Source organism: Homo sapiens, chromosome 5 (assembly GCF_000001405.40).
Source record: "Homo sapiens chromosome 5, GRCh38.p14 Primary Assembly".
Lineage (NCBI taxonomy): Eukaryota > Metazoa > Chordata > Mammalia > Primates > Hominidae > Homo > Homo sapiens.
The window spans coordinates 41497375-41511182 of NC_000005.10; the positions used below are offsets into that span (position 1 = coordinate 41497375).

General features: G+C 38.4%; 1 protein-coding gene across 1 annotated transcript in view, besides 1 other annotated feature; it reads right to left on the reverse strand.

Moving 5' to 3' along the window:
* Nucleotides 1-13227, reverse strand: part of PLCXD3 (phosphatidylinositol specific phospholipase C X domain containing 3) — a 203650-nt gene extending 190423 nt beyond the window's left edge. The window contains exon 1 of the mRNA NM_001005473.3: nucleotides 13050-13227. Within this exon, the coding sequence (NP_001005473.1) occupies nucleotides 13050-13152 (103 nt within the window). The 5' untranslated portion in view covers nucleotides 13153-13227. The remainder of the gene's footprint in view (nucleotides 1-13049) is intronic.
* Nucleotides 12753-13581: an enhancer, noted in NCBI's record as "H3K4me1 hESC enhancer chr5:41510229-41511057 (GRCh37/hg19 assembly coordinates)". NCBI's record gives its function as "activates a minimal SCP1, AML or CMV promoter by ChIP-STARR-seq in naive H9 embryonic stem cells {active_cell/tissue: H9 hESC(naive)}" and the evidence as "EXISTENCE:reporter gene assay evidence [ECO:0000049][PMID:30033119]".

Here is a 13808-nt window from a genome sequence, read left to right on the forward strand (position 1 = left end):
TGGCCATATTTATATCAGACAAAATAGATTTTAAGTCAAATATTGCTGCAAGAGACAAAGAAGGGCATTATATGATGATATAATTGGATGAGTCAAGTCAACCAGGAAGATAAAGCAATTATAAATATATGCACACCCAATATCAGAACACCCAAATATATAAAGCAGTGACAGAACTGAAGGAAGAGATAGGCAACATACAGTAATAGGAAAAAATTTAATATCCCACATTTAATACTGGATTAATCATCCAGACAGAAAATCATGAAGGAATTGGACTTCAACTACAGTTTAGACAAAATGAACCTAACAAACATATACAGAACATTTCATTTAACAACAGCAGAATACACATTCTTCTCAAGCACACATGGAATGTTCTCCAAGGTTGATCACACGATAGGCCCCAAAACAAATCTTAACAAATTTAAGAGTATTGAAATTATACCAAGTATCCTTCAAGTATCTTCTTCAAGTATCTTCTTCAACCACAACTAGAAATCAATATCAGAAGGAAAGCTGGAAAACTCACAAATGTGTGGAAATTAAACAATGCATCCTTTAACAACCAATTGGTCAAACAAGAAATCAAAAGGGAATTTTAAAAAATTATCTTGAGACAAAAAAGATGAGATGAAAACACAACATTCCAAAACGTATGAAATGCAGCAAAAGCAGTACCGAGAGATTTACAGTAATAAATGCCTATATTAAAAAAGATAAAAACCTTAACCTAATTCTATACCTCAAGGAATTAGAAAAAGAATGGCAATCTAAGACAAAATTTAGTAGAATTAAGGAAATCATAAAGATTAGAGCAGAAATAAATAAAATAGAGAATAGAAACAGCAATAGAAAAAATCAACAACCCTAGGAATTTTTTGAAAAGATAAACATAAGTGACATTTAGCTAAAGAAAGAAAGAGAGAACACTCAAATAAACAAAATCAAAATTGAAAGAGAAGACATTACAACTAATTCCACATAAAGGATTATAAGATGCTACTATAAACAATTATATACCAAAAAAATGGGATAAACCAGAGGAAATGAATAAATTCTTAGAAACATACAACCTGTTGAGACTGAATCATGAGGAAATAGAAAATGTGAACAACCCTATAATAGTAAGGAGATTGATTCAGTTGCTAAAATCTCTCAACAAAGAAAAGCCCAGAACCAGATGGTTTAAAGGTGAATTCTATTAGAATTAATGCCAATTCTTCTCACACTCTTCCAAAAAAACTGAAGAGAAGTGTACACTTCCAAATTCATTCTGTGAGATCAGCATTACACTGATACCAAAGGCAGACAAAGACACTACAAGGAGAGAACACTATAGACCAATATCCCTAATAAACATAAATGAATAAATCCTCAATAAAATACTAGCAAACCGAGTTCAACAGCACATTAGAAGAATCATACACCACGATTAAGTGGGATTTATCCATTGGAGGTAAAGATGATTCAACATATAAAAATCAATTAATGTGATATACCATGTAAACAGAATGAAGGATAAAAATAACATGATCATATCAATAGATGCAGGAGAAGCATTTGATAAAATTCAACATCTTTTCATGATAAAAAACGCTCAACAAATTAGATATAAGAGAAATATACCTTGACACAATAAAAGCCACATATGACAAGCCCATAGTCATACTCAATAGTGAAAGTTTAAGGCTTTCCCTCTAAGACCAGGAAGAAGGCAAGGATGGCCATTCTTACTGCTTGTATTTAACATAATACTATACACCCTAGTGAGAGCAGTTAGGTTAGAAAAAACAAAAAAGAAAGAAAATGTATCTAAATAGAAAAGGAAGTAGCAAAATTATCTCTGTAGATAACATTTTATATGTAAAAAACTAGATTCCAATAAATAAATAAATTTGTTAGAATTAAGCAAATCTAGTACATTGCAGAATACAAAATCAACATTAAAAATCAGTTGTGTTTTTATACACTAAAAATGAGCAGTCTGAAAAGAAAATTAAGAAAACAATCCCACTTACAATATTATCAAAAGGAACAAAATACTTTGGAATAAACTTAACAAAGGAGACAAAAGATTTCACTGAAAATTGCAAAACGTTGCAGAAAGAAATTAAAGAACACGCAAACAAATGAAAAGTCATCATACGTTCATGGACTGGAAGACTTAATATTGCTCAAATGTTACCACTCCCCAAAGGAATCTATAGATTCAATGCAATCTTTATCAAAACCTGCTGGCCTTTCACAGAAAGAGAAAAAATAATCCTAAATTTATACGGAACCACATAGGACTCCAAAAACCCTCATAATTTTGAGAAAGAAAAACAAAGCTGGAGGCCTCACACCTTCTGATATGAAAACATACTACAAAGCACAGTAATCAAAACAGTATAGTTCTGGCATAAAGACCAACATATAGACCAATAAAACAGAATAGAGACCAGAAATAAAACCTCACATATACCATTAACTTATCTTTGACAAAATACTAAGAATACACAATGGGGAAAGGATAGTCTCTTTGATAAAGATGTTGGGAAACTAGATATCCACATGAGAAATAATGATTTTGAGTCCTTATCTTATGACATATGTATGTAAATTAGTACAGCCTCTATGGGAAATAGTATGGCTATTTCTCAAAGAACTAAAAATAGAACTTCCATTTGATCCAGCAATCCCATACTGGTCATCTACCCAAATGAAAAGAATTCAATACATCAAAAAAACACCTGCACTCATATGTTTATCTCCGCACTATTCATAATAGCAAAGATATGGAATCAAACTTAGTGCCCAACAATAGATGATTGGATAAAGAAAATGTGGCATGTATACACAATAGAATACTATAATATTCAGCCACAAAAAATAATAAGGTCGCTTCTTTTGCAGCAACATGAATGGAAGTAGAGGTCACATTATCGTAAGTGAAACAAGCCAGACACAGAAAGACAAATATTGCATGTGCTCACTCATAAGTGGATGCTAAAATACATGTACATACGAATGTAGCGAGTGGAATAATAGACAATGGATACTCAGAAGGGTGAGGGGATAAAAAGGGAGAGATAATGAGAAATTAATGGGTACAATGTATATTATTTGAGTGACAGATACCCTAAAAGCCTGACTTGACTATTATGCAATCTATGCACATTTATCCCCTAAACATATATATTATATGCACACACACACACACAAACACGCAACTTAAACCTAAGACCTGAAACTGTAAAACTCCTGGAAGAAAATGTAGGGGGAAAGCTTTATGAAGTTGGGTTTGGCAATGAGTTTTTGGATATGAAATCAAAGCCACAGGCACCAAAAGCAAAAATAAACAAGTGGAACTACATCTAACTAAAAAGCCTCTCTGCAGGAAAAGAAATAATCAACAGAATGAAATAGGAGAAAATACTTGCAAATCATATATATGATAAGGGGTTAATTTCCAAAAATATATAAGGAATTCCTACAACTCGATAGCAAAAACTAAATAACCTTATTAAAACTATACAAAGAACAAGTATAGACATTTCTCTAAAGAAGACATGAAATAGCTAAGAGGTATGAAAGAGTGCTCAAAATCACTAATCACCAGGGAAATGAAAATCAAAACCACGGTAAGATATCACCTAATACCTGTTAGGATGGTTACTATCAAAAATATATAAAATAATGTGTTAGCAAGGATGTATAGAAATTGCAATTCTTGTACACTGTTGGTGGAAGTGTAAAATTGTGCAGCCTCTATGGAGAACAGAATGGAATTACGTCGAAATTTTAAAGATAGAACTACCACATGATCCAACAGTCCCACTTTGGGGTATTTATCCAAAAGAAATGAAATTGAGATCTTGAATCGAGATCTCTATTCTCATTGCAATAAGCTTCAGTATCGTTCACAATCAAAATGTATATCAATGGATGAATGGATTAATAAATATGGTATATACATACAAATGTACTATTATTCAGTCATAAAAAGAAGAAAATCCTGTCATATGCTACCACATGGGTAAACCTTGAAGACATTATGCGAACTGAAATAAACCAGTCACAAAAGGACAAATACTGCATGATTCCACTTAGATGAGGTATCTAATAGTCAAACTCACTGAAGCAGAGAGTGGAATGCTGGTTGCCAGAGGCTGGGAAAGAGGGGGAAAAGGGAAGTTTCTATTCAACAGGTATCAAGTTTTAGTCATGCAAGATGAAAAAGTTCTAGAGGTCTGCTGTGCAATATTGTACTTACAGGTAGCAACACTGTATTATATACTTAAAATTTTAAGATAGTAAATTTCACGTTATGGATGTCATAGTTTTTACCACAATAAAAAAAATAAGGTGTGCTAAGAAGCCAAAGGAAGAACATGTTTCACGAAGAGAGGTGTGGCGAACCACATCAATGTTGCTGAAATGTCAAATAAGATGATAGAGAATTAACCATTACCTTTGGCAAAATACAGATCATTGGCTACCTTGATAAGAACAATTTTAGGGAAGTGATGGGGAAATGAGATTAGTATGGACTAGGAAGAGAAAGAGATATAACAACCTGAAGGTAGGGAAGATATTTTTACAAGAATAAGAGAAATAGTTTACTGATTGAGAGGCAGGTGTGGTAACAAATTTTTTTTTGCAAGGAGCATTATTACATATATTTGTGTGCTGACTGGAATGATCCCATAGAGGTGGAGAAAACTGATGACACAGGAAAGAGAGAGTGGATAAATTCAAAAGTAAGCTTTGAACAGATTTGAGTGGATGGGATCCAGAACACAAGTGGAAAAACTTAGCTTATGTATGAGCAGGTCTAGATCTTCCTCTTATTTAAAGGAAATCCAAAGTATAAGAAATAGATGCATTGTGGGTTCAATGGTGGGAAACTGAGGAAGATCTTGTCTGTTTGCATCAAGTTTTTAAATATAAAATCAGAGGTGAAGTAATCAGTTTAGGTGAGGTGGGAAAGAGTAATTAATAGGATAAAATTATGTGTCTGTGTGTATGTGTATGTGTGCGGTGTGTGTGATTTAACCTTTTCTTGATGGGTCAGAGCACATCAATTAACTGTTAATGTGCTTTAATACAATGGAGCCCTTTCTTTAATATAAAATAAGATGTGATGTAATCAGTACAGATGAAGTAGGAAGAAGGTGTTGATTTGAGAATCAAGAAGAGGTAAAAAATTCTCATCTTAGAGAACAAGAAATGAATTTACTAAGGAAGTGTAGTAAGTCTCTCTGCCTGTATTGAACACCCATTTAAAATTTATGGTCAGAAATTTCCAGTGAGTCCAGTCACCCAAACCGCGTAATTTCTCTCCAACAATGTTCATCCATTGAAGTTTTCTGGGATCTGAATAGTTAGAAAGTTGAGTTTAACTGAATTGGGGTTTTCCAGGTACGTAGGACAGAAAAAGTGAGACGAGAACATTAAGATCATCTCCAAAGGTGTGAATCTCATGCTGGACCAAGAAATTTGGCTTTATCAGCAGAGAAATGAGGACATGAAAGGGTGATGAAGACTAAACAAAACTTCACATTCTGCAGCCTTCTTCTCTAGCAGCATTCATGGCAGGAGCTTTACATCCCCTGACAACCTTTCTTTTCTTGAGAAAGGGCCAGGACGGGTCACATAGGTGTGTGTTTAGGGCTAACTTCCCTCTAAGGCAGCTATGGTTATCTTCCTCCTACTCTTCTTCCTCCTCTAAATGGCAGCATGGGTGTATAGCCTGAGACATGCATTGAAGATAAGTCCTATCTGCCCACTAGGACTGCAAGTGCAGTCCACTTTCTCTCCACTAGCTAACAAGCCATAGGGGAGTTCCAGGAAAGCATAGCAGGAAATTAATATGACCATTTATCATAATCCACTTTGCCTCATGAAATAAAAATTTTTCAAGTGAATGAAGGAACCAAATTTTCATTTATAATGATAATTATGGATAAATGTGACTGCTTCATAAAAATTAACTCACAGAAATAATTCTATGTAAAACATAACATTAGCTCGCATTTAAGATAGAGTGTTGTAAGAGCTGTCCACTTCCAGGATCTGTAATGAAATATAGGAACATAACAAGAGTGCATCTAACAGATCCATGGGCCATCTGTTTCAGTACCTGACCTCCGGAGGTGACTAATCCTGGCTGCTTAGCAAGAATATTTAACCATCTCCTCCTACCCCTCTGTTACTGACCTATCTTCCTGTCTTAATAGAGCATAATAAAAACATATGGTGCTGTAAAAAGCTTCTGGCAGCAAAATTCCACCTGAACCATGATTAAATTTTTCACTCACTTTTCCCTTCCTTCTGGAATATATGATATAGACAATTTTTTGGTCCCCACTCTCCTAAGATTGATTTGAACCCTATACAAACCAGAAGACATGAGAGGAGTCTATAAACTTCTTGAGGACATTAATTTCAATGACTACGTCTAGGACTTCCTTGAGTGCTCATCATGGTGGCATGTTCTCTGGTTTCCAAAAACTAATATTTTTGGGCAAGAGGCATCCTCACTGGTGGTAATAGTTAAATTTTCCAGAAAACACAGCTTTCCCCTTTAAGCAACAGGAATTAAAATGTGTGTGTGTGTGTGTGCACTTGTGTGTGTGTGTGTGTGTGTGTGACTGATTTAACCTTTTCTTGATGGGTCAGAGCACATCAATTAGCTACTAATGTGCTTTCATACAATGGAGCCCTTAGGGATTACTTTAGGGATATGGGATTAATTGGCTCTGTTTACATTATCCCAGCCTGCTCAGTGGGAAAAATATAGACCCTAGCTGTGTTTCCACTCTAGATTTGTCTAAAGGAATGATTACATTGCACCCACTGGAAGTTTACTTATAGGAAAAATCAAGAAGATTCCTGAAAAAGAAGTTTTTTTAAGAGGAAGTCAATACAAACACATAGGTGCAGATGCAGAGAGTGAGCTAACATTGAGCATAATGCAGAGTATAGGATAAAATTTGTCCCACATATTTTCCTCTGCCCAGCCACATAAAATCATACCTTAGTCCCCGAGCAATGGAGCAACAACAAAATAATCAATATAAACCAGGCAAAAAGATGCCTGGTTTTGGCAGTGCCAGCACTCAGGGCTTCAGCAGTGATGGCAGAGTCAGCAATAGGAGATGTTGGCATCAGCAGCTTCCACAATGGGTGACCAAGCTCTGGGAGCCTTTGACTCTTGTTAGACATTAACATGCTCAATGTTGGGCCTCTGCAGACACAGAATAAGCTCTGGAGGAGCTATTAGTAATACTAGTGATATTTTGGGGATAAAACTATGGAAGCACAGTTTCTCTATATGTCAAAGGAGCAAAGGTGACAACTCTCCAAAGCTTTCCCAAAACAGGAAAGAAGGAAAATGGCAGATACCATGTTGTAGCCCAGAGGACTAGTTTATCAATCCAGCCCAAATGACTGGCTTATAGATCATACTTAAGAATCCATCCAGATTTTTAGAACTATTTGGAAGTTCGTTAAGGAGGTATTTGGGAGGAGTTGAAGAACTGACAGTTGCTATGACTCTGATTTTACTTTTGGACTGGTAAAGTGTAGAGAACACTATGTTTTGTGTCAGTGTATCTCCATTTGTTAGTCTTCCCTCATAAATATTCCCTATTTTCATTACTGATTTATGGCACTCAACAGTTTTCATCTTCTTTATAATTTGCTCTTTCTGTTCTCATTGGGTGGAGTTGGAATTAAATATGAGTAAATAAACTCTAAGTCAGGGTATAATAAATTTTTACACGAGTAAAGCTTATGGGCCTTAACGTATGAACATTGTGGTATCCATTTAAGCAATTGGAGAGCTGTGTGTGAGTGTGTGTGCATGTGTGTGTGTGTGTGAAGTTTAACTATTTTAGAACAATTATAGTATCAAACAACTGACATTCAATCTAGTGGATTATAAACTGTTATATATGCTTGTACTCCATGTAAGCTATGCTTCAAATAAATGAGATGTGACTTGCAAATACAAACAAGATAGGTCATTTTCTATTGAAAACCAATTTACTGTTTACCTTTGATGTTGATGCTTTTGATGGCTTTCTGATGCTACATTTTGCATTATTTCATGATGCCACTTTTGCTCGATAACAATATTGCAAAGTTCTAGCTTATAAATAAAATGAATCAACCTGCAACTTATAACAGAAGGAGCTGGTCCTGTGCACCACAAAGAGTGACTTAAATGGACAAAGAACCAATATAGAGATGTTTCCTAAACTGGCATTAGAGATCACTAGCATTACCAGATGAGCTGATTTTAAGTGCTATCGATGGCCAATAAGAAGCAGCAGGACTTTAAGGAAATGAGGGGAAAGGTTTTACATTTATCACAGTGACCTAATGTGAACAGTTAAGTAGCAATTAAGTCACATTTATTGCTCAAGGTACATGATGACCTGTAATGTCAGTTATCAGAAATGTCCCTAACTTGGGCAATTAGCTTTGAGTCAAATATGGTGTTCTGGCTTTAAGCCTGATTATAAAATTGGAAACATGTATAGACTGCATGGTGCAATAGAAAGGGCCTAGTAAAAAATGTATATTTAAATTTGCCTCTGACATTTACATAAAAGCCCTCTTTAGAGATACACTAAAGCAGTTTTCTCAAACTTTAAATGTGTATATAAATCATCTAGGGATTGTGTTAAAATGTAGATTGTAATTAAATAGATCTGATGTGTGATGTGCAGAGTCTGAGATGCAGCATTTCTACCAAGCCCACATGTATGCTGATGATGTTGGTCCCTGAACCAACTCTGAGTCCCAAGGCCTTAGAAGATTATTGTTAGAATGTGGGAAAAGCATATGTGTGCATAGGAAGACACTTTGTGAATGGTAAAATAGCATATATAACACTTTACATTGAATAACAATAGTCGAGGATTTGATTCATCAAGAAAAGTCCTAGTAGAACAAATTATGTTTCAGATACTGTTCAATTTTTCCTTGTTCGCAAAACCAAAAACAAAACTGAGAATTAGAGAGGCAGAACAAGAGAGATATTCATCCTAAACAATGTTGTTGCTTTTTTACTGTCTTGAAAGATTCACTTCTGTATCACTATCCACTAATAAATGGGGTAGGAGGTGAGAACTGCTCTTGTTTTGTTCTTTAGAAATTTGCACAATTAGACCCAGTCCCAGATACATCCTAGACATTGACTCCTTCCAAGTAAAATAGAAATAGGAAATTACAAAGAGGAGGAAGATGGTTGGCTCCAGGAACACAGGCAGCAACAAAAAGGGATGACTGTTAGGGGAAGAAATTAAAAACTAGTAGGTCAGACACAAGAACAGAGACTCAGAGCTGTTTAAACACTTAGCTTCCCTTAGTGAACCTGTTGTTTTTCATTGGTGTTTGCATTTTCTAAAGGAAATGAACAAAATTCACAGGCACAATCATTGATTTATAAAGCGTTTCTGTGTTCCTTATCTAAAAAGTACAGTCAACAATTCCCTGTTGAAGAAAACATGGATTCTTTCTGAGTTTCCAGTCCCACAACATTGTGGCCAATATTTTATTATTTCATGGTCAGTTTGCTACACTATATGAAAAAGATTTTTACATATTAGAGAATGCAAAGCAGACCCCTCCCATGGGCTAAACCCTTCCCAATCTTTTAGATTTTGGACAGAATGACTCTCTGTCACACATGCAGATTACCAGCACCTTATGTGTTCCCATGATGCATCTCTTTACAATAGTTCTGGAGCCACCATGATTACAGAGTTAGAACTCTGTTTCAGAGAAACTGAATTTTCATCAGTCTCACTTTTACCTAAATTTTATACTTTGTCTTCCTGCTTTCATCTCTGTTTATCCTCTCTCACCTGCTTATAGTGAAGGGCAGTATCATTCATAATCCAAAATGCCAGTATTCAACAAATATGCACGAATTAAAACTTAAGTTTAGGGCCATCAGAGAGAGAAGGAAATAATAAACAAGGCTGAAATTGGAGTAACTGTCAATGTGTTCTGGCTGTGTCATTTCTTTAAAAAATAAATTGAAAGTGAAATACTAATACCAATTACTAACTTAATTCCTCAGCCCAGTCAATATCATATCATGAAGCCATTTAAATGCCAAACAGCTATTGCGAGATTACTCTGAAACCATTCAAACTGCAGAGATTTGAGAAATATTTAAAGACACCGGAACTGTGCTCTGGTGGGGAATATCACACAGTTGCACATTGTTTTTTGCTGTAACTCTGGGCAATCTGGGTCAGCTGCCCCAGTTGGGTAGCCTTATAATTAGGCAGCTCTTTATTTTCCAGCCGCTTTACCTAAGACAACCTGAAGCTTTGAGGATGACTGAGCAGCAGTTTCCCTCAACAGAAACACTTGTGTGGTGCACCAGGAGTGGTTTTAAATGATGGAGATAATTACTTAATTTGAGCTGTAGCAACTGGCCAAGTAAACATGTAGCAGCCAGGAAGCTATTAGCATGATTTTAAGGCAATTATTCCATTAGTGTTTAATAGTCTCCAATTAGTCTTCTCTGACTATCAAAGTTTGAATATCTTTTTTTCCTCCAAAAATTCTTAGTGCTGAGTAATGCAAAAAGGTGCCAAACCTGTTTTTAAACCTGGTTTTTTATATATGTGGATCTTCCAAACAAATTTACAGAAACATGCGAGTATTCAGGAGTATAGATTTGATGAAAAATGTTGGTCTATTTTTTCTCACAAGTATTGGAGTGAGAAGGGGAAGCTTTACAGGAGATCCATTTGAGTATAATACCAACAGGAGCTGGGAAAACAATATAAATTCCCATGGAAGCCCAATGTCATCATCTTTATGTCTGTACTCTAAGATCACCCAGATACCAAAATCTCTCACCTCAGGTTTTTATTTTGTCCCAGGGCAGGAAAGGAAAATTACTGTGTTCCCACTAATGCTTAGTTCCTTTTTTCTTAACCCTGGTTAGTCACAGTTGCTGCTGAATCATCCAGATACAAATCACAAAGCCTTTCCCTCCAAAATTCATAGGGTATCTTCCCAAAGGTCCAAGTAAGGGGTCAGATCCCTGAACTGATAGGGATAAATAGTAAGTCATTTGTCTTCACTTAGCTTCAGTTTTTTCATCTGTGACATGGAGGTAATAGTGCCAGCACTCCCTGCTTCATGGGGTTTTAGAAGGATTTTGTGAGCTGGTGTACATAACAGGGCTTTGAAAAGTGAAATATTACAGAAATGTAAGGTAGACTCAAAAAGATATCATACCATCTCAGAACTAGATAAACAAACATAGGCTTTTAATCCTGTAGCTCTAGAGAGTCACCTGCCAGAAGGTTTGCATCACAGTGATTGCCCTTCTTACCTTCTATGCATATAAAAACATTCAGGGGAAACCATGTGAAAGAAGCTGTCTAAAATCCAAATAAAAATGAAGGAAGAAAAGGAATGGGAATGCCTGTGGAAGTGAGAATGGAGTTATGCCAAAGTTGTGCTTTCTACTGTCTCCTTGAAAAGAGCAATCTCCAGGCTTGCCTAGGTAGCAGAATAAGTGCTGCATGGAGAAGCTGGGGTTGGTTCTTTTCCTTGGAGATTCCTGGCCGGTAGCAAGCTATCTGTTGAAGAAGGACGAAAGGAGACAGCCCCTTCTGTGGATAGCACTTGTAGTAGCCTGTGCCTGCCATTGCTGCCAAACATCCACTTGACTAACAACCATTGATTTGAGGGACTGATCAATGGCAGCACTCTTGGTTGGAGCATCTAGTGATTTTCAAAATAACCCTTCTTTTGTTTTTGTTTTTGTTGTTTTTTTCTTTATTATGTTTTCCTCCAACAGCTGAGAGGGGGCGCTGGATGGGGCAGATCAAGAGGAGGTAGACCATAACGTTGAGTTTAATAGCCCAGCTCAGCTCAGGGCCAGAAGTGAACTGTTCATGAGTAATTTGCCCTCCAGCCCAGCTCTGAAAAGATCAAGTGTGTGCTCCCCCAGCCCAACTGCATAGCCAAATTGACAATAAAGTATGGCCGTGTCCCAGCTGTCATTGTTGTAAACTGTCCTGAAACGACCCTCACTCCTGGATACCTGATCTAGGGGGTTGTTAGGAGCTGCCACCCTAGAAACCTGCCCAGTCTCTGGTCCAAGTCGCACACATCAAGCTGAAGCTTCTTGATCCCTCAGGTCTCTTCCTCGCTTTGTCCACGCTTCTTTCCTTCTAGACTGTCTGGACACATTCTCAGTCACCTTTTCCGTACTATTTGCCTATTAATCCCACCCCTCCGCTCAGGTCACGCAGGTTCCCCTGCCCAGCTTCTGTCCCGAGCAGTAAACATACGGTCCGCAAGGGTTTGCTTTTTTGACCTGGGCGAAGTGTGTTGCCAACACGCACTTGGACCAGACTCGAGACAGCGGCCACTCGGCCAGGTCCCCCGGGGTCCAAACCGATACGAAATGGTGCCCTCTGCCCGTCGCCCCCTTGGGCTCCTTTTCAAGGGCAGCTATCACGCCGCCTCTGGTCCCTGAACTTTCATCACTCTTCGGGAAGCGCTTTGTCTTTTTAAAGGAGATTGGGGACGAATATTAATGACTGTAGCCGAGAATCTATCAAATCCGCCCAATTCCATGCCAGGGATAGACTCAGGTCCTTGCACCGAAGGCGAGCCCCTGACACTAGCTCGCGTTCTTCACACACGGTCACCCCGCAGACCCAGAGATTTCTCCCACTTCCCCAAATCTGCAGGAGAAACCATAGGAGGGGGTCACGAGGCACCATCCTGGAGCCCAGCTTCTCCTCTGCCCCAGTCCTCCGCATACAACCTGCTTCAAAAGCCCAGGAGAAAAGCAGTCACCTTGACTCTAGCGCCTCGGTCCTTAGGGGTTTGGAAAACGCCAGGAAGCCCAAGGCTACCCGGCACGCGCTCGCCTGGCCTGAGACCCACCCTGGAAGACGAGTTTCCCTCCCGCGGGCATCGTGGCAAGTTACCACTTAGTGGCAGATAAAGCAGGGCGGGGCAGGTGGAGCGGGCGCCGAGCGCCTAGCCCGCAGCCCCTGCGCGCCTACCTGGAATGGCTAAATTGGTGAGGGGGATGCTGTGCATGCTCTCCGGCAGAGTTGCCATCCAGTCGGCTAATTTCAGCTCGTTTTTCCCCTGAGACGAGGCCATCGTGCCAGTCGGCGTGCAGCGCGCTGGTCCCAGCACTCCTCGGGCAGGCTGGCAGGCTGCTGCCGCTAATCCAATGTTTGCTCTAGCCCCGCTAGAGTTTACACTCCTCTCTGCGCCACACCCACAGGATGGCGCAGACACATGCTAATTTTAATAATTATTCAAAACACCCCGTGCTCCCTTAGTGCCTCCGCCAGACTCCGCTGGAGCTTTTGTTCCTGACGTCCGTGCTCAGCTCTCTCCGCTCTCCCCTCCCTCCCCAACCCCCTCCTCCCGTCTTATCCTTCCTAGGCGTCTCTGCCTTTCCTCGCCATTCTGCAGCTTTCCCTGGTTTCTTATTTTTCTTTTCTATTCATTTTTTTCCAACTGCTTTGCCCATGGCTTGCTCGATCCTTTGCTGTGACTTTCTCGTCCTGTTTGTATGAAAGACAGTCTTGCACTTGAACCTAAAATCCTAGCAGACTTTGGGATGTTATTGCCTCCTGAGGAACAGACTTCTCATGCTGGGTTTCAGGGCTTTCCGTCCTTATCAAAGAGCTTTCCTTTTTGTAATCTACAACAGGTTATACCTTTCCTCAGCCAGAGACCACAACCCTGTTTATTAAAAAATGATTATCTTTATTCACTCTTTTGCCTACTTTGTGAAATAGCTGGTA